Genomic DNA, 21,129 nt, shown 5'->3' on the forward strand with positions numbered 1-21,129 from the left:
AAAGGAGTTGGGCGTGGGCTTGTAGGTTCCTTGTGCTTTATGGACAGATAGTGCAGGATACCAGTTACATATTCCATGATGAAATCCTCTAAAGCTAAAAAATAAATTTTGGCTGAATCTGAAAATTAATTAACTCATTCATTTATTCATTGAATAAATACTATTGACTGTCTACTATCCCTACTGTATTCCTGGGGAAATTGCAATGGCATATGTATGCAGTGTGTCCTTACCAGAGAATTGGCACATACATTCAGAGACACATTGGCAAATTAGTGAGTTACCAGGAAGCGGATATGTGGAGAGATTTAAAATCTAGTCACATGGGAAACAACTGAGGAGTATGGCAATGTTTAGCCGGGAGAAGAAAGAGCTTGAGGCCCTGTGAAGGCCCTTGAAGACATGATAGCTGCCTTCACATATCTGAAGGACTGACGCTGGGAAAAGAGAGTTTATGAAGGGCCGGGCGCGGTGGCTCACGCCTGTAATCCCAGCACTATGGGAAGCTGAGGCAGGCAGATCACCTGAGGTCGGGAGTTTGAGACCGGCCTGACCAACATGCAGAAACCCCGTCTCTACTAAAAAAATAAAAAAAATTAGCCGGTCGTGGTGGCACATGCCTATAAACCCAGCTGCTCGGGAGGCTGAGGCAGGAGAATCACTTGAACCTGGGAGGTGGAGGTTGTGGTGAGCCGAGGTTATGCCATTGCACTACAGCCTGGGCAACAAGAGTGAAACTCCGTCTCAAAAAAGAGAAAAGAGAGTTTACATATTTAATGTTTTCCAGGGCAAAACCAATGTCAATAGCTAGAAGTTAATAGGGGAATAGATTCTGGCTCACAGCTAGAGCTGTTAAGTAGTTGAACAGCCTGTCTTGTGAAGGAGTAAGGTTTTGGTCATTGGCTTAACATCTGCCAGGGATGTTATCAGAGGGCTTCTCTAAGGTTGGATGTTAGAACCCTCTGGCTTAATACCATGTTTCATCTCTATAAGTTTTCAGATCTCTGATTTTAGGTAGCTCCTGAACCCCTATTCATATGTACACCCCTAGTCTTCTCATCCAAGCTGAGATCAACAGGAATTGTAGCTTTCTGATTCCCTCTTTTTTTTTCAGGAACTTGCCAATTCAGAATATCCATGGGGCTCAGATAATGTAAATAAATGAAATGGGTTCAGTTGTAAGAATTCTGGTTTTCCAGTGCTGTTTGTTGTATTTAGTTTTCAGTACTGCAGGGGACACTTGAGCTCAGTATTAAGGAAGCCATGAGGAGCAATAGGGATTGTGGGACCCTCAATAATAAATGTCTCATCTAGATGAGGCATCTACCATTCAACTTCAGTAAATCGTTTCCATGTAGGAATGGGGGCTGGGTGTGGCCCATTTGTTAACTTTTTGGGAGAAGCCAGAAATTTATATTTTTATGTAAAATCTTTCCATTTATAAATGTTGATTCAAATTTTGTATAAGCCAAATAAAACATAGTTGCAAGTCTGTGTCTTTAGGTCTTCACTAACACAAATAGGAAGGAAGAGAGGAACTCTTGAGTCTTCAAGATTATGTCTAGCTTTGGGGCTAGAGGATTCTCTGGTTTAGTATTAGGTCTCAAGCATCCATTTACTGTTCAGAGACAGCACCCATCCCCTATCTAATAATAGTTTACATTTATTGAACATTTGCTTTGTTCCAGACACTATATTGAATAATTTACATGCATTTTTCATTTAAGCCTCAAAACAACTAGTTGCTGTAATTATTTCTATTTTAAAGAAAAAGAAGTAAGTGATAGAAGCTAGTAAGTGATAGAGCAGGAATTCTAATCTGTGAAGTCCAATTTGGAACTCGTAATCACTTAATCTAAACTTGTAATCACCACATCACATTGTCTTCAGACTCTTCAGACAACATTAGCATTGACATATGGTCAGGGAAAAAGTGGGGCTGATAGAATAGACAGAATGAGACTTTGGTTGTTTGGGGTCCTGGAATAATAAATTCACTTTTGAGAGTTTGGCTCTGAGGCTCTGTTCTATTCCCTGTTCAGGAGACAAATCACACAGAATTAATGGAACATGAAGCATCTCTTAGTAGGAATGCGCAAGAGGAGAAGTTGTCTTTACAGCAGGTGATCAAGGATATAACCCAGGTACTGGGAAGCCTCCTGTTCATGGTAACCAGGTTATGCCTCCACTCCCCAGGTCTCCATGTCCTTTCAGTCCTGCCTAGATTTCCAGTCTCTGAGGTTCGGGTGCTTAAAGTCTTGTGGGGATGAGTTTTGTGTGTTTGAAGACCAGAACCCTAAGAGATAGCTAAGCATTCACGTTTAGCACTACCTGATGGGACAGGCCCTCTTTCCTGTTTCTAGCTGCAGTTCTCAGGCTGGAGGCTAGATTCTGGTATTCAATATCTCAATCGTTTCTTCTTTCATTTCCTCATTTATTGTTACCTCAGACAGTGTTCTAGCCTTGTTGTTAGTCCTAGACTTGGGTGACCAAAGGTGGAGAGTTGAAGGAACCAGACTTTTATGCTCAGATACTCCCCTCCTTCCCCCAGGGGAGAGGACCTGAGAAGGAAAACATCAGGTTTGTCCAGGCTATAGGGTTAAGTCCCTCTATAGACTCTAGGCTTTGGTCAGTAGGGTGGTGACCTTGCTGTATTGGGTTTCAGGTCATGGTGGAAGAAGGGGACAATATAGCCCAAGGCTCTGGTCATGAGAACTCTTTGGAATTGGACTCTAGTATCTTCTCCCAGTTTGATTACCAGGATGCAGACAAGGCTCTTACTCTGGTGCGTTCAGTGCTGACTCGGAGACGCCAGGCTGTGCAGGTAGGAACCCTCAGCATTCCACCTCAGTCACAGGGGTTTGTGTCTAAACTGGTTTGTGCCTCAGGTACCTCCCTAGCCTGGACTATCCCTTTCACTTTTTTGACCAGTCATGAGGTGTTCTGTCAATATCCCAGAGTAAATCTGCCTATGTCTGCTGAATTGTGCTTGTGAGTAGCAGGCACATCCTCCACGCCAATGGCATGCTTCACTTTGTGTACAATCTTTGCATAACAGTATGCAAAGATTGGGAACCAGAGCCCTGGGAGATTATTGGGTCAACGTTCTCCAACTCTGAGAGTCTTAGGCACACTTACCACTCCCCCATGCCACTGTACATTTGGAGATGACGAACTCTAAGAATCTAGAGCCACAGAAGCCCAATGACCTCTGATGGCCTGTCTTCTTGAATAGTTGCATCTCCCTTCTCAGCTTTCTTTTGTTGCACCAGCCCCCGACCCCCTTCTCCAGCCCCACTTTCGGGGTTCTGACATCCCTCCTTTGCCCTTGTTCATCATCTGGTTTCTCTTGCTCTCTCTCCACAGGACCTAAGGCAGCAGCTTGCAGGCTGTCAAGAGGCTGTGAACTTGTTGCAACAGCAGCATGATCAGTGGGAGGAAGAGGGCAAAGCCTTGAGACAGCGGCTGCAGAAGCTCACTGGGGAGCGGGACACTCTGGCAGGGCAGACTGTGGACCTCCAGGGAGAGGTGGACTCTCTCAGCAAGTGAGCAGACGGGCTGTTCATCCCACCCTCCCAGCCTGGTCTCAGTCTCAGTCACCATCCAGCCATTTACCCACTCCCATCAGGTTTTTGGGGTGCTGATCCTGTTCTCCTTGAGACTCAGGGCTGTTTTGCCCAGTGTTTCACTTGTTTCTCCAGAACAAGCTTTTGGGGTTGGAGTCTTTGTGATGATAAAAAAGTTTCGCACTAGAAACAGAAGATGGGATGTTGAAACAGGGTCTCTTGGCCCTGTGATGCCTGCTTCCAGAAAGAATTTTAGGTCCTATGGTCTCTGCTCATCTCTGATTCCCTTCTTCCAGGGAGCGAGAGCTGCTGCAGAAGGCCAGGGAAGAGCTGCGGCAGCAGCTGGAGGTGCTAGAGCAGGAGGCATGGCGCCTGCGAAGGGTAAATGTGGAGCTTCAGCTGCAGGGGGACTCTGCCCAGGGCCAGAAGGAGGAACAGCAGGAGGAGCTGCACCTGGCTGTCCGGGAGAGGGAGCGTCTGTAAGTGAGACTAGTCTCCTCCTCGCTGGGCCCTGGTCTTTCTTCAATTCTACACCCTCCCCGTCTACTCCCCTCTGTTACAAAGTAGAGTATGTAGAAGTCTGGCATGCAGTGGGTTCAGATTAGCTTGCTGCTTCTTCCTTTGCAGAAAGATGAATATGGAAAGTTCGTGGTTGGTTAAGTCTTAGTTGAGCACCCATATGGGATGAGACACTGAGGGGGATACAGAAATGAATAAGACAAAAGCCCTGATTTCAGGGAACTTGCCAGAAGACAGACAACTCACTGTGACATGAGGCTGGATGAAGTATGAGTTAAATAGAGTTTCAGACCAAGTCCTTTGGGAGCACAGGAGTGACAGCTAATTATTGAAGACTAGGAAATGCTTTATGGAGGAGAGAGTAGACTTTGAGCTGGGCCTTTACCTATTTGGTTAGCAGAGAGTGGGAGAAGAGCTCAAGGAACAGATTAGCAAAGAAAAGGCGGCAGGAAGGTTCATGGCATGTTCAGAGTAGGCTGGGCTGGCTAAAGGGTAAGACTTATACAGGGAAGTAGTGGGAAATGTGCTAGCTGGTCAAGAAAGGGAAATCCAGAATCAATGGCCCCAGCTAATCTGTAAATTCCCCTATATGATGTCACAGAAAAAGCAAGGACTTTGAGCTAGGCAGAAGCTTAGTTTAAATTATGGCTCTGTCACATGGACAGATTATTTGTAGAATGATGATAATATTTACCTTGAAGGGTTGCTGGGAAGATGAGAGCAATGTTTTGGAAAACGCCAGCATAGAACCTGGCATATGGTAGGTCTTTAATAACTGGGAGCAGGGATATATCTTCATCTTTGCTGTATTTCCCTCCTCTCCTGTGCCCCAGTTCCTTGTACCTGGTAGGCATGAATAGTGGAAGCTTGAAGGGCTGCCATAAGGGTCATGACTTGTGCTAAGAATGATCTCCCTGTACCAAGGAGAAGGGCAGACAACCCCTAACAACAAAAAATTAGCTGTAGCTGAATGTGGTGGCATGTGCCTGTAGCCATGGCAAGGTGAGATGGGAGGATCACATGAGCCCCCAGGAGTTTGAGGCTTCAGTGAGCTAAGAAGATACACAGAGAAGTCTCACTCTCATTTGTGCTTTCTCCATCCCATTTCCCTTCCCCCTTTAGGCAACCATTTTAGCTGACTTCTTGTTTATCTTGCCAGTGCTCCTTCATGCAAATACGGGCATATATTCTTTCTTCCCCCACTTTCTTGCATAAAAGGTAGTGTATCATGTATATACTGTTCTGCACCTTGATTTTTTTCACTTGACATGTCTTAGAAATCTTTCCTTATCAGTGTTTATAGACCATCCTCATTCTGTTGCATAGCAAAGGTGATTATATTCCTGTTACCTTTGGGGTTATGGCCCATCCCTAAGAGTTCCTCTAGACCCCTCTCTTTCCCATCTTAGTCAGGAGATGCTGATGGGCCTGGAAGCCAAACAGTCAGAATCACTCAGTGAACTGATCACTCTTCGGGAAGCCCTGGAGTCAAGTCACCTGGAAGGGGAGTTACTGAGGCAAGAGCAAACGGAAGTGACCGCAGCGCTGGCTAGGGTGCGTGGCCTCCTCTCCTCACTTGCTGGGTGGGCGGCTTCGAAAGTGTGTTCCCATGCAGCCTGCCTCATTCTTCACCTTCAAGCCAGGATCCCTCATCTTTCCTCAATCATTAGTCTGCTTCTGGGTTCTCTATTCCAACATACCCTCTATATTGGAATTAGAATGGGCTTTCTAAAGTATATACCTGGTTATGTCAGTCTCTTAAAACCATTCAACGGCTTTCTAGCTCTGTGGTGCCACATTCAAAGCTTTTTGTCATGTGCCTCAAAGTGTGTTTTAGCCTCCCCTTCTACTGCAAAACCCATCCTAACACCTCATATCCTTTGCTCCTGCCACAGCAGTAATTGCCTTCTCAGTTATTCCATGTTCTTCATGACTCTAATACTCTGCGTGTACTTTTCCCTTTCTCTGCACTACTTCTTTCCTCTTCCTTTATGTGCAAACTGTTCCTCATCTCTCAGTACACAACTTAATCGTCAACTCCTCTACCAAGCATATTTGACTCTTCCAAACTATATTAATATTTTTTTTAGTTCCCAGAGCACTTTGTGCTTACATTTTCTGTGGCATCATTACAATCATAGTCATTTCTCTATCCTAACTTTGGTATCTCTATACTGTGAGGTCCTGTCTCACTCCTTAATGAATGAATGAAGGGAAAACTTGTTTAGAATGCAGGAGAGGGAATGGAGTATTAACTGATCTCTGTACCAAAAAGCAGCAGTGTTGGGAATGTGAACTGTTTACTGTTCCAGGAAAATTGGAAATATGAAACTCTTTAATCCTTTTTGTTTTTTAGGCAGAGCAGTCAATTGCAGAGCTGTCGAGTTCTGAAAACACCCTGAAGACAGAAGTAGCTGATCTTCGGGCTGCAGCTGTCAAGCTCAGTGCCTTAAATGAGGCTTTGGCGTTAGATAAAGTTGGGCTGAACCAGCAGCTTCTCCAGGTGAGCAAAGATTTTCCTGGTCCCCACAGAAGGGCTGGGCCCTAACTGAGAGCAAGACGGATCAGCTCCCAAATGTAGGTCTGAAATGAGCAAAAGGAACATTTACAATGCAGAGGAGAGCAAAGACTGTAAGGATTGGGCTTAGCCATTATAAATATTCCCCTCCCACACCTCCAGCAGAACCACCTCTGGACTTCAGGGTAAGACACCAAGGTTGGGAAGGGGCCCATGTCCTCTGGAAGGAAGACTAGGTTTTTTGCTGGGGTTTTCTTGAGATGGATCTCCCTCTGTCACCTAGGCTGGAGTGCAGTGGTGCGATCTTAGCTAACTGCAGTTTTCATCTCCTGGGTTCAAGCAATTCTCCTGCCTCAGCCTCCTGAGTAGCTGGGATTACAGGCATGTGTCACCACACCTGGCTAATTTTTTTTTTTTGAGATGGAGTTTTGCTCTTGTTGCCCAGGCTGGAGTACAGTGGCACGATCTTGGCTCGCTGCAACCTCTGCATCCCGGGTTCAAGCAATTCTCTTGCCTCAGCCTCCTGAATATCTGGGATTACAGGCATGCACCACCATGCCTGGCTAATTTTGTATTTTTAATAGAGACAGGGTTTTACAATGTTGGTCAGGCTGTTCTCAAACTCCTGACCTCAGGTGATCCACCTGCCTCAGCCTCCCAAAGTGCTAGGATTACAGGCGTGAGCCACCACACTTGGCTGCCCTGGGCTAGTTTTTGTATTTTTAGTAGAGATGGGGTTTCACCATGTTGGCCAGGCTGATCTTGAACTCCTGGCCTCAGGTGATCCATCCACCTCAGCCTCCTGAAGTCCTGGGATTACAGGCATGAGCCACCATACCCGGCCTAAGTCTAGGTTGTTAATCCTGTTGGGTGAGATAATAGCAATCACCAGAAAAGAATCTGCTGAAGAGCCTAAGTCCCAAAGAATCTTTTCTATAGGTTATAAATTTAACCTATAATTATAGCGAGGGAACCTCCTTGCAATCTCTGTTTCCTTGAGTGTTCTCTATTCCATTATTCTGAATTATTTGAGAGCAGGACTTTGCCTTGCATATCTCCGTCCCCAGCATCCAGCCCATCTAGTACCTGGAATATAGGCACTAGATCAAATGAATGGATTTTCCCCCATCTTATAAACACTCCTTTGTTCATCTTTGGAGAATAGATTCATATCTCACTTGGATTTCAGTCTTAGCATTTGATTCCTAAACTAACCATTTGTCTTTGATGCTTGTACTCCCTTCCCTTTTTGGCCAGTAGTTAGAGGAGGAGAACCAGTCTGTGTGCAGCAGAATGGAGGCCGCAGAGCAGGCGAGAAATGCTTTGCAGGTCGACCTGGCGGAGGCAGAGAAGAGGAGGGAAGCCCTGTGGGAAAAGAACACTCACCTGGAGGCTCAGCTGCAGAAAGCTGAGGAGGCTGGGGCTGAGCTGCAGGCAGATCTCAGGGACATCCAAGAAGAGAAGGAAGAAATTCAAAAGAAACTAAGTGAGGTGAGAAGCCAAAATGGACACCATCATGTCTAGGTGTAATATATGCTCATTATAAAAAATTAAAACACTACAGAAATTATCTGGAAAGTGAAAAAGTCTTACTTCCTAGAAATGACCAGTGTTACTAGTTTGCAGTATATCTTCCAATTTTAAAAAAGAATGCCTATAACAATTCTTCACTGAGGCTGGGCGCAGTGGCTCATGCCTGTAATCCCAGCACTTTAGGAGGCCGAGGCGGGCGGATCACGAGGTCAGAGGTTCGAGACCAGCCTGACCAACATAGTGAAACCCTGTCTCTACTAAAAATACAAAAATTAGCCCGGCATGGTGGCACATGCCTGTAATCCCAACTACTCGGGAGGCTGAGGCAGGAGAATCTCTTGAATCTGGGAGGCGGAGGTTGCAGTGAGCCGAGATTGCGCCACTGCACTCCAACCTGGATGACAGAGCGACACTGCTCAAAAAAACAAAAAGAATTCTTCACTGATTCTCCACTACTTCATTCACACCACCCAGTTTGAATTAGAAGCTTCTCCTTATACTCTGATAGCACCTCATGCTTATTTTAACTACCACATTCCTCATGCTATAATTATCTGTTTATATGTCTCTACCATTAGACCAAAAGCTCCTTGAAGGCAAAGCTATATCTTATTTGTTTTTATTTCTCCAGCTTTTAGCATAGTGCCTACCACATAACAGGGGCCAAGTAAATTTTTTTCCTGAGCCAATGAATGACCTGGCTCAAAGGTCATCTTTCTCCTCTACAAAACCTCTCATTGTCCTAATAATTGTACGGACTCTCCCTTCACAGAGTCCCTTTCTCGGGACATTGATGACTTTCTTCCCAGTATTATGTGTGCATCTTCTCAAGGCCAAAACCTCCTTAGGGGCAGGTCTTCTGCTGTCCCTAGCACAGGGTCTTGCTCACAGGGGAGCATTCTTCCTGGGCTGGGGGCTCTGTGGGCGGATCAGGGAAATAGATAAATGCCACGTGCTATTGGGTAAGCAATCCGGGCTCACAGAGCTGGGTCCAGAATCTCTGAAGAGGCAATGACCCTAACCTGGTGGTAGCGGCCCCAGGGGAATCCAGCCTCTGCTCCATCTCTCACCACATTCTTCCCCTCAGTCACGTCACCAGCAGGAGGCAGCCACGACTCAGCTGGAGCAGCTACATCAGGAGGCAAAGCGACAGGAAGAAGTGCTTGCCAGGGCAGTCCAGGAGAAGGAGGCCCTAGTACGAGAGAAAGCGGCTCTAGAGGTGCGGCTGCAGGCCGTGGAGCGTGACCGGCAGGACCTCGCTGAACAACTACAGGGGCTCAGGTAGGGCCCAGACTCAGTTCAGCCAAGCACAGAGAGAGCTTTGCAAGGCAAAGGCGTGAAGCTAAGCTCCCTGCCATAAGTATGCAGGTCCTAAATTGATTATGAATTTATAATTGCCCCCCTAACTTCTCCAGGTAGCCAATACTTAGAACCCAGCTCCTCTTGAGGAAGGGTAAGGGGCTTGATGGGTAAGAAACTCTTCTGATTCCTGAACCTCACAGCTCAGCCAAGGAGCTACTGGAGAGCAGTCTGTTTGAAGCCCAACAACAAAATTCTGTGATAGAGGTCACCAAGGGGCAGCTGGAGGTCCAGATTCAAACTGTCACTCAAGCCAAGGAAGTAATCCAAGGTGAGAACCCAACTGGGATGGGATGCACTCCATTCCATGGAGATGTTGAAAGGCAGGAAGATGGTGGGAGACTATTAGAGGTCCTTCTCCAGCAGGGTGCAGGGCCTCTGAGATGGGAGTTGCTCATGAGGTCAGGGGAGAGGGAGAATTTTATTAGGTAAAAGGAGGGGGCGGAGGCCTGATCCTGTCCCTGGCATGTTAGGGGAAGTGAGGTGCCTGAAGCTGGAACTGGACACTGAACGGAGTCAGGCAGAGCAGGAGCGGGATGCTGCAGCCAGACAGCTGGCCCAGGCTGAGCAAGAAGGGAAGACTGCCTTGGAGCAGCAGAAGGCAGCCCATGAGAAAGAGGTGAACCAGCTCCGGGAGAAATGGGTAAGTGGTCAATGTGGCCGGGTATGGCCTCCCTTCCATGAGTGCTCTACCTGCTGCCTCTTGGTCCAGTTATTGCTGCTCGTATGAGTGAAATTTTGTAACCAAGCTGTAAAATCCAACTTCCTGCTATTAAATGAGTTAATATATGAAAAGCACTAAGAGTAGTTCCTAGCATGTGGTGGGCTCCCTATATGTGTTAGCCATTATTATTGTTGTTGTGTTGGTGTGTACAGAGAATTGAGAGTGGACCCTGGGATTTAGGATTATTAAACTGGCCTCAGGATGAAAACGGGGGAGAGGAATATCTTGGATGCATTCTTGTGCAGTTCAGAACTGTGTTTTGTCTTTTAATAATGTAATTTAGTCCATTTGGTTTTATTGTGGTTTTAGGTGTATTTGGATTTATTTGTGCCATCTTATGTTATTTGTCTTGCTTTTTTATATCTTTTTTTTTTTTTTTTTTCCTTGAGACAGTCTCACTCTGTCCCTCAGGCTGGAGTACAGTGGTGCATTCTTGGCTCACTGCAACCTCCGCCTCCTGGGTTCAAGCGATTCTCCTGCCTCAGTCTCCTAAGTAGCTGGGATTACAGGTGTGTGCCACCACATCTGGCTAATTTTTGTATTTTTAGTAGAGATGGGGTTTCACCATGTTGGCCAGGCTGGTCTCAAACTGACCTCGTGATCCACCTGCCTCAGCCTCCTAAAGTGCAGGGTACAGCTGTGAGCCACTGTGCCTGGCCATTTTTATATCTTTTAGGGAGGGGAAATCTCCTTTCTTAACTTCTTTTAGAGGATTAAGTTGGGTGATTAAGTTGTATTCTTTTCTCACCTCTTTTTTCTCTCTGCAACTGTGGATGATATATACTTTATTTTAAAAATCCTGTTAGTGGTTACCTTTAATATTTTTAAACATATACTTAATAAAATCTCAAGGTTCAGTAGTTTTACCCTTTTCCTGAACGATACAAGGGTCTTAGAACATTTTACCTGGGCCAGGGACAGTGGCTCATGCCTGTCATCTCAGCACTTTGGGAGGCTGAGGTGGGCAGATTGCTTGAGCCCAGGAGTTTGAGACCAGCCTGGACAACACGGCGAAACCCCATTCCCTACAAAAAAAAATACAAAAATTAGCCAGGCATGGTGGTACACACTGTAGTCCCAGCTACTTGGGAGGCTGAGGTGGGAGGATCACTTGAGCCTAGGAGGTTGAGGCTGTGGTGAGCTGAGCACCACTGCACTCCAGCCTGAGTGACAGAGTGAGACCCTGTCTCAAAAGCAAAAAAGAACATTTTACTTGTTTCACTGCTCCCTAATTTATAGGCTATTTTGTTCAGTGTGTTCAGTTCTAACTAGTTTAACACCACAAATTATGATTTTTTTATTGTTTTATACAGTCAATATTTGTTCAGATACAACGAATTGATACCTTTTCTGTTCACCATACCTTCTTGCATGTCAGACTTTCTATTCAGATTTTTTTTTTTTTTTTTTGCCTGAAGTAGGATTTTCTTTGGTAAGGGTCTGTTGGTAGTTAATTGTCTGAAGATGTTTCTATTTTATTTTTATTCTTTTATTGAGGCAGGGTCTCACTCTGTCGCCTAGACTGGAGTGCAGTCATGTGATCATGGCCTACTGCAGCCTTGGCCTCCTGGGCTCAGGTGATCCTCCCACCTCAGCCTCCCAAGTAGCTGGGATTATAGGCATATGCCATCACACCCAGCTAATTTTATTTTTGGTAGAGACAGGGTTTCACCATGTTGCCCAGGCTGGTCTCAAACTCCTGGGCTCAAGCGATCCACCCGCCCTTGGCCTCCCAAAGTGTTGGGATTACAGAGGTGAGCCACCATGTCCAGCCTACTTTTATTCTTGAAAGATAGTTTCTGGCTTTGTTCAGGCTTAAAAAATAGATAGATAGATAGATAGATAGATAGATAGATAGATAGATAGATAGATAGATAGATTCACTAAGTAAAACATTCAGATATAAGTTTCTAGGATGACAATTATTTTCTCTCAACATTGTTGGTATTGAGAAGTTAGCTTTCATTTTAATCATTCCACAGTTTCTTGTGTTTATTATTATTTTTTTGTTTGTTTGTTTTTTGAGACGGAGTCTCGCTCTGTTGCCCAGGCTGGAGTGCAGTGGCGCAATCTTGGCTCACTGCAAGGTCCGCCTCTGGGTTCACGCCATTCTCCTGCCTCAGCCTCCCAAGTAGCTGAGACCACAGGCGCTCACCACCATGCCCGGCTAATTTTTTGTATTTTTAGTAAATACAAAAATTTTTTGTATTCACCGTGTTAGCCAGGATGGTCTCGATCTCCTGACCTCATGATCCACCCGCCTCGGCCTCCCAAAGTGCTGGGATTACAGGCGTGAGCCACCGTGCCCGGCTATTTATTTTTTTATATTTTTTTTTATTTTTTATTTTTTTGAGACAGAGTCTTGCTCTGTCACCCAGGCTTGAGTGCAGTGGTGCAATCTCGGCTCACTGTAACTTCCACCTCTTGAGTTCATGCAGTTCTTCTGCCTCAGCCTCTAGAGTAGCTGGGATTACAGGCACGTACCACCATGCCCAGCTAATTTTTTTGTATTTTTAGTAGAGATGGGGTTTCACCATGTTGCCCAGGCTGGTCTCAAACTCCTGGGCTCAAGTGATCCACCCACCTCGGCCTCCCAAAGGGCTGGGATTAAAGGCGTGAGACCACGCCTGGCAATTTCTTGTGTTTAGATGTGTATTTCTTTTATTTGGTTGGAATTTCTTAGACATCCTGAATTTAAGATTTCATGTTGAAATATCAATTCTGGAAAATTCTTATATATTATCTCTTCAATATTACCTCTTTCCTACTGTCCTGCTTTTATTTATTTACTCTTTAAAATAAATTTTTTTTTGGCCAATTGCAGTGGCTCATGCCTGTAATCTCAGTAATTTGGGAGGCTGAGGTGGGCGGATCACCTGAGGTCAGGAGTTCGAGACCAGCCTGACCAACATGGAGAAACCCCGTCTCTACTAAATATACAAAATTAGCCGAGTGTGGTAGCACATGTCTGTAATCCTAGCTATTAGGGAGGCTGAGGCAGGAGAATCGCTTGAACCTGGGAGGTGGAGGTTGCGATGAGCTGAGATCGCGCCATTACACTCCAGCCTGGGCAACAAGAACGAAACTCCGTCTCAAAAAAAAAAAAAAATTTTTTTTTTTAAATTTATTTTATTTTATTTTTTAGAGACAGGGTCTTGCTCTGTTACCCAGGCTGGAGTATAATGATACAATCATAGCTCACTGCAGCCTCAAACTCCTGAGCTCAAGTGAGTCCTCCTGCCGCAGCCTCCGACGAACTGCAACTACAGGCACATGCCACCATGCCCAGCTAATTTTTTAATTTTAATTTTAATTTTTTTTTTTTTTAGAGATGGGTCTTGCTATGTTATCCAGGCTGGTCTCGAACTCCTGGGCTCAAGCTGTCCTCTTGCCTCAGCCTCCCACATAAGCTGGGACTACAGGTGCACGCCACCATACCTGGCTCTTTTCCTACTTTCTTCTCTCTTTCTGTACTCTGGTTAGTTGTATGTCAGACCTTTTTACTCTATCCTTCATGTATCTTCACTGCCTCTTGCATTTTACATGTTTACTTTTCTCTTTGTATGCTGTGTTCTGGATTATTTTTTTCAGATCTCTCATCTAGTTACTGATTTTCCTTTTCAGCTGTGTCGAATCTGATGTTTATTCTATTCACCAAGTTTTAAATTTCACTTTTTAAATTTTTTATTTCTAGATATTTTATTTGGTTATTTTTTCATATCTTCTTGGTCATTTTTTTCAGTCTGTTTTCCCTAATTTGTATTTTCAGTCCATTCTTTTAAACATATGAAACATACTTGTGTCCTGTCTAGTAATTCCAATAACTTTTAATTAACGTTTTGGGGTCTAGTTCTGTAATTTGTTGTTTCTGTTGGCTCTTACTCATGGGCTTGTTTCCCTGTGTTTTTGTGATTCTTGTCTATGAGCATGTCTTTGGAAATTTTCCTTTTTTTTTCTTTTTTCTTTTTTTCTTTTTTCCCCCAGAGACCTTTGTTCTGAGGAAGGTTTTCTGTGGGAATCTTTTTAGGCCTGAGGCAAAGGAGTTTTTCCTCAGAGGATTTGTGCTTCTGTCAGGAAGCTGGAGGACTAGCATCCCAGGACCACCTTAAAGTAAATTTTCTGTTTAAAGTTTTTTGACCCACAGTCAGGCCCAGACCCCATGTGCAGCTCAGCTTGTGGTTATGAATTTTCAGAGGAGACTTTTTTCCTACCCTGTATCAAAGTTGAGATAAGCATATTTCCTTGATAATTTCCTTCTATAGAGTTTATTTTGTTTTGTCCCCTCTCCACATCCCTCCAGTTTCTCTTTTTCTCCCTTCCTCCCCATGTCCTCCTTCTTTTTGCCTTTTCCCCCTTAAGCTGAGGTCACTACAGCCCAGAGATAGGCATTTTTTTTTTTCTTTCTAGAGATGGACTATCACTATGTTGCTCAGTCTGATCTTGAACTCCTGGGCTCAAGGGATCCTCCTGTCTCAGCCTCCTGAGTAGCTGGGACCACAGGCACAGTCCACCATGTCTGGCTTTTTGTTAAGGACTATATGCTAGGCTTTGCAGACCATATGGTCTCTGTTACAATTATCTAACTTTGCAATTGTAGTGCAAAGCAGCCATATATAAACAAATGAGCATGACTGTGCTCAGATAAAACTTTATGTATAGATACTGAAATGAGAATTTCATATAATTTTCGCATGTCACAAAACATTATTGTTTTCTACCATTAAAAATGTAAAGGCTGGGTGCAGTGGCTCATGCCTATAATCCCACCACTTTGGGAGGCTGAGGCAGGACGATTGGTTGAGACCAACCTGGGCAACATAGCAAGACCCTATCTCTTTAAAAAAAAAAAAAAAAAAAAGGTAAAGGCTGGGCGCAGTGGCTTACGCCTGTAATCCCAGCACTTTGGGAGGCCTAGGTGGCCGGATCACCTGAAGTCAGGAGTTCAAGACCAGTCTGGCCAACATGGTGAAACTCCATCTCTACTAAGAATACAAAAATATTAGCCGGGTGTGGTGGCACATGCCTGTAGTCCCAGCTACTTGGGAGGCTGAACAGGAGAATCGCTTGAACCTGAGAGGTGGAGGTTGCAGTGAGCCAAGATCGCACCATTGCACTCCAGCCTGGGCGACAGAGTGAGACTCTGTCTCAAAAAAAAAAAAAAAAAGTAAAAACCACTCTTAGCTCATAGCCAGAGAGCAACAGGTGGTGAGCCAGATTTGGTCCACATACTATAATTTGTTAACCCCAGTCCAGATTTTTGTTTGTTTGCTTGTTTTGTTTAGAGATAAGGTCTTGCTCTGGTCACCCAGGCTAGAGTATAGTGGCACAATCATAGCTCACTGCAGCCTCAAACTCCCAGGCTCAAGTGATCTTCCTGCCTCAGCCTCCTAAGTAGCTAGGACTACAGCGTCTGCCTGGCTTTTTTTTTTTTTTTTTTTTTTTTTTTTTTTGAGACAGGGTCTTGCTCTGTCACTCAGGCTACAGTGCAATGGTACAATCATGGCTCACTGCAGCCTCTACCTCACGGGCTCAAGTGATCCTCTCCAGCCTCCTGAGTAGCTGGGACCACAGGCATGAACCACCATGCCTGGCTAAGTTTTTTTTTTTTTTTTTTTTATAGAGATGGGGTTTCGTCATGTTACCCAGGCTGGTCTTGAACTCCTGGGCTCAGGTAATCTGCCCACCTTGGCCTCCCAAAGTGCTGGGGATTACAGGCGTGAGCCACCACGCCCAGCCACCTGGCTTATTTTTATTTTTATTTTAAATTCTGAATTACATTTGCATTGGGTGAAAGATAGTGGATTTACTTTTTTTTTTTTTTTTTTGAGACACAGTCTTGCTCTGTTGCACAGGCAGTGGTGCTGTTTCAGCTCCGCCTCCTGGGTTCAAGCAATTCTCGTGCTTCAGCCTCCCAAGTAGCTGGGATTACAGGCGCATGCTACCACACCTGGCTAATTTTTGCATTTTTAGTAGACACTGGGTTTCACCACATCAGCCAGGCTGGTCTCGAACTCCTGACCTCAAGACAAGGTCTTGCTATTGCCCAGGCTGGAGTGCAGTTGTACAACTGCACTGTACAACTCTAGCTCACTGAAGCTTCAAGCTCCTGGGCTTAAGCAATCCTTCTGCCTCAGCCTCCAGACTAGCTAGGACTACAGGCATGCACCATCATGCCTGGCTAATTTTTTTTTTTTTTGGTAGAGATGTGATCTCACTTTGTTGCCTAGGCTGGTCTTGAACTCCTAGCTTCAAGCAATCCTCCTGCCACAGCCTCCCAAACTGCTGGGATTATAGGTATGAACTACCACACCTGGCCTACACCACAAGTCTTGCTTTGCTTTTGGCTTCTGTGGAATTTTTATTATTTTCCTGCTGGTTCTGTGATACATTAAAATACATATTTAATATTTTATCCAGCATTTTTTGCGATTTCGTAGCTGGAGGGTTCAGAGATCTTGTTTATCAAGTATCTGGAAATGGAAGTTGACTTGTGCTTTATGTGTATTTGTAATTTGATTGTTATTATGAGGCAGGCTTATTGGCAAGATGATAACCAGAAGTTTGCTTATTTTTGGAATTCTGTGCCTAGTCTATAGTCGGTGCTTAAAAGTATTTGTTGAATGAACACTGATTCTAGCAGGAATCAGATGTATACCATGTACTGAAAACTCCATAAATAAAAGATGCTATAAAACTTCTGAATGATAAGCCAGCTACCTACGTGGCCTTGGTTTCCCTAAAAGGATTGACTATAGTGGCCATATCTGGGTCATGAAAGGGCCTTTTCTCTCTTTTCCTTTTCTGTCATTCAGCTAATCCTCCTGACTTCTGATTGTCCCACTTTATTATTTCTCTATGATTGAGCAGGTCAACTGCCCTCTTAAAACTCTCGACAGCCTGTTCGTTTTAGCAGTGACTGCCTTCTCCTGGAATCCTGGCAATTAGAAGCACTCTTGGGAGGCCGCGCGTGGTGGCTCACACCTGTAATCCCAGCACTTTGGGAGGCCGAGGTGGGCGGATTGCCCAAGGTCAGGAGTTTGAGACCAGTCTGGCCAACCTGGTGACACCCCGTCTCTACTAAAAATACAAAAAAATTAGCCAGGCGTGGTGGCATGCACCTGTAATCCCAGCTACTTGGGAGGTTGAGGCAGGGGAATTGCTTGAACCAGGGAGGTGGAGGTTGCAGTGAGCCAAGATCGCACCACTGCACTCCAGCCTGGGCAACAGAGTGAGACTCTGTCTCAAAGAAAAAAAAGAAAAAGAAACACTCTTGGCAGTTGTATTCTTTATTCTTCCATCTACTGTCTGTCTCCCCTTTAAGAGTAATGATATTGGACACTTGTTAAGCACCTCCCCATGCCAAGCACCATGCTGAATGCTTTATTCACACAATAAAGGTGAATAAATGCATGGAGAAGTCACTCAGGGCTGGGCGTGGTGGCTCACACCTGTAATTCCAACAATTTGGGAGGCCAAGGCGAAAGGATCGCTAGAGGCCAGGAGTTCGAGACCAGCCTGGGCAACATAGCAAGATCCCCATCTCTAAATAAATAAAATATAAAAAGAGAAGTCAGGGTTACATGGCTAATAAGGGGTAGAAAAGGGATTCAGGGCCCAAACTCCTAACCATTTCTTTTTTATCCACCTCTGTAATGTCCCTTCCAAATGGTTGCTTAGCTGCTATTGTATTCCATCACTTGGCTGCCCATTTATTTTAGATAGATCTAGTTATTAGGAAATTCATGTTGAACCAAAACCTATTACCAGGAACAAATGAGCCTTAGATTTGCTTGAAATACCCCACCAACATGGTTGCTTTCTTCTAGGCATGTTACAATTTACTCATGTCCCAGTGGTGTAAAGGTGGCACTTTGAACTGGGCAGAATATTCTGTTCATGGTCATACCAGCAATGCTGGACTGTTACTTCCTACACATCACAGAATTAGCTCTTCTTGTAGCTATAACACACTTCTAACTCACATAGAGCAAATAGATCAGTTTTTTTAACACTTGCAACTGCTATTAACATTCATCTTTTTCATATTTTTACAGTTGGCTTTGGCTTTTTGCAGTCACATACTCTGCCACTGAGCTATACCCGCTGTCTTTGGCTTTTTGAACCAGAGGGTAAAATGATTTGTCATTCATGACTGTCCTGTAACTGACATTACACATTGCCGGGTTTTATAAGGAAGAACAAAGGAAGACCTCTTTTTTTTCTTTTTATTATTATTATTTCTTTTGAGACAGGGTCTTGCTCTGTTGCCCAGGCTGGAGTGCAGTGGCGTGATCAGGGCTTAACGGCAGCCTCACCCTCAAGGCCCTCCTGGGCTCAAGTGATCCTCCTACCTCAGCCTCCCAAGTAGCTGGGACCACAGGAGTGAACCACCACACCTGACTAATTTTTGCATTTTTTGTAGATAAGGGGTTTCACCATGTTGCCTAGGCTGGTCTCAAACTCTTGGGCTCAAGTGATCATCCTACCTCGGCCTCGCAAAATGTTGGGATAATATATGTGAACTACCACGTCCAGCCAGACCACTGTCAATTGTATGGTCTGGGAAGGCTTCACCAAGGAAGTGTTAGTTTAGGCGTGAGGAATGATGGAGTAGGGGGGAGAAGGGCTTTCCAGGTAGAAGGAAGCATGAGTAAAGGCTCTAAGGCATGAACATGTTGGCTGGGTGCAGTGGCTCACACCTGTAATCCTAGCACTTTGGGAGGCCTAAGCGGGCAGATCACTTGAGGTTAGGAGTTCAAAACCAGCCTGGCCAACGTGGTGAAACCATGTCTCTACTAAAAATACAAAAAAAATAGCTGGGAGTGGTGGCGGGCGCCTGTAATCCCAGCTACTTGGGAGGCTGAGGCGGGAGAATCACTTGAACTTGGGAGGCAGAGGTTGCAGTGAGCCGAGATCACCCCACTGCACTCCAGCCTGGGCGATAGAGTGAGACTCTGTCTCAAAAAAAAAAAAAAAGTGCTTAGTGTGCTCAAGGACCTGCAAGGAGGCAAGTGTGTGTAGCCAGGGTGTAGTGAATGAGGGGGAAAGCTGCACAGGATGACACTGGGAAGGCTGAAACACTAGAGGCGTTCCCATTACATGAATAAGCAACGACAAACTTACAAGCATTTTAAAGGAAAAGTGCAGGGAATACTAATGTGATGATGATGCTGGCTGTTGTGTATTGCCCGCTTTCTGTGTGCTACGCACATTTAAAGTGATTCACATGACTTATCTCCATCCTCAATACAACCTGAGGAGAATGACACTGTTGTTATCCCCATTTTAATAGATGAAGAAACTGAGGCACAGAGTTGTTTAGAAATTGAGATCATGCTAGTAGTGGTAGATTAAAGATTCTCCACCCAGGCAGCCCAACTCCAGAGCCCTTCACCTCTATCCTGTACACCTAATAGAGGGTCCTGAACTAGTCAGAGAGCTTGGGAAAGCTTTGGTTGCTGGAAGACCGCTAAGACAAGAAGCACCCCTATCCTAATGCTCTTATATAATACAGGGAGACATCCTCACTGGGCCAGGCCTGATTCTTCAGGGGCTAACTCTGCAACTCTGAGTAGAGGAGAGCAGGCAGCAGACAGCCAGAATTGGCCGCCTCAGTTCATTGTTACAACTGTCAACCACAATGTGGCTGCTTTAAAGATAACAAATACGGAGCTGTGTGTGGTGTCATGCCCCTGTGTTCTTAGCTACTCAGGAGGCTGAGGCAGGAGGACCACTTGCGCCCAGGAGTTCGAGTCCAGCCTGGGCAACATAGTGAGACCCCATCTCTAAAAATAAGAATGCCTAGGCTAGGCACAGTGGCTCATGCCTATAATCCCAGCACTTTGGGAGGCCGAGGCAGGCAGATCACTTGAGGTCAGGAGTTCATGACCAGCCTGGCCAACATGTTGAAACCCCATCTCTACTAAAAATACAAAAATTAGCTGGGCATGGTGGGGGGCACCTGTAGTCCCAGCTGCTAGGGAGGCTGAGACAGGAGAATCACTTGAACCTGAAAGGTGGAGGTTGCAGTGAGCGGAGATCGTGCCACTGCAGTCCAGCCTGGGTGACAGGGCAAGACTCCGTCTCCAAAAAAAAATTAAAAATAGAAATACATTTTAAAACCCAGATACTTGTAGCATATATAAGGGACAATTGCAGTTTGGAAGGTACTTCCACATGTATTATATAATTTTATTTTTTAAAATGAATCTCATTTGGTTGTCATGAAATTTGGTAAGATAGATAAGGCAGGGAATATTAGCCTTGCTTTACAGATGAGGCAACAGGCTTAGAGAGGTACCAAGGTCACCCCACTAGTGAGTAGTAGAGAGACTTTGTTTTTCCAATCCAGTACCCCTGCCTCCCCTCCTCACCCATTTGGTTCTAATGGTGTTTCCTTCATGTGGCCAGGAGAAGGAGCGCTCCTGGCACCAGCAGGAGCTGGCAAAGGCTCTGGAGAGCTTAGAAAGGGAAAAAATGGAGCTGGAAATGAGGCTAAAGGAGCAGCAGACAGAAATGGAGGCCATCCAGGCCCAGAGGGAAGAAGAACGGACCCAGGCAGAGAGTGCCCTATGCCAGGTGGGAAGCTAGGAGGATTGGAGCTGCACGTCCAGTCAGCGATCTCCTTACCTTGACCACTTCCTTTTCTACTCCCAAGAGGAGTGCTGCAGAGGGGCTTCCAGAAGAGAGGGTAGCTACCCACTTTGCTAACAGTGAGCAGGGTGGTCCGCACCATTAGCCACAGTTCCGGCAGTATGTCATACTTCCTGAGGGAGGGCTGACATGTACCACATCCTGTCAGCTTGCAAACCAGTGGTAATCTTTGCACTTCCTTGTTCTGAACCCATGGGCTCAGACCTTCCTTTGCCCTCAGCCCCTTCCCATTTGCTAGGAGAGCCCTAGGGCAGCTG

The 21,129-nt window shown here is 45.3% G+C and overlaps 1 protein-coding gene and 1 long non-coding RNA gene across 33 annotated transcripts in view, besides 1 other annotated feature; one reads left to right on the top strand and one right to left on the bottom strand.

Annotated features, from left to right (window-relative positions):
• The window catches only part of CEP250 (centrosomal protein 250), a 64,116-nt gene that overhangs the window by 14,843 nt on the left and 28,144 nt on the right, over window positions 1-21,129 (top strand). For 18 of the 26 annotated variants that reach the window (XM_006723691.2, XM_047439854.1, XM_005260262.5 and 15 more), the window contains 11 exons: window positions 2,043-2,144; window positions 2,666-2,824; window positions 3,367-3,545; window positions 3,863-4,045; window positions 5,495-5,639; window positions 6,442-6,588; window positions 7,864-8,094; window positions 9,224-9,417; window positions 9,639-9,766; window positions 9,969-10,138; window positions 20,630-20,797. In XM_006723691.2, the coding sequence (XP_006723754.1) occupies window positions 2,043-2,144; window positions 2,666-2,824; window positions 3,367-3,545; window positions 3,863-4,045; window positions 5,495-5,639; window positions 6,442-6,588; window positions 7,864-8,094; window positions 9,224-9,417; window positions 9,639-9,766; window positions 9,969-10,138; window positions 20,630-20,797 (1,806 nt within the window). 26 annotated transcript variants of the gene reach the window in all.
• Window positions 1,648-20,975, bottom strand: CEP250-AS1 (CEP250 antisense RNA 1). Of its 7 annotated transcripts, NR_184016.1 has the most exons (5): window positions 20,849-20,975; window positions 11,126-11,244; window positions 9,207-9,328; window positions 7,990-8,031; window positions 1,648-6,668 (listed from the first exon to the last, which is right to left on the bottom strand). It is a non-coding gene; the product is annotated as a CEP250 antisense RNA 1 (long non-coding RNA). The 7 variants fall into 7 exon arrangements; NR_184015.1 differs by lacking the exon at window positions 11,126-11,244; NR_184013.1 differs by lacking the exons at window positions 7,990-8,031; window positions 9,207-9,328 and adding an exon at window positions 7,819-7,938.
• Window positions 20,774-20,933: an enhancer, noted in NCBI's record as "active region_17785". NCBI's record gives its function as "activates an Ori minimal core promoter by ATAC-STARR-seq in GM12878 lymphoblastoid cells {active_cell/tissue: GM12878}" and the evidence as "EXISTENCE:reporter gene assay evidence [ECO:0000049][PMID:35858748]".

The sequence above is a fragment of the Homo sapiens genome, chromosome 20 (assembly GCF_000001405.40).
Source record: "Homo sapiens chromosome 20, GRCh38.p14 Primary Assembly".
Lineage (NCBI taxonomy): Eukaryota > Metazoa > Chordata > Mammalia > Primates > Hominidae > Homo > Homo sapiens.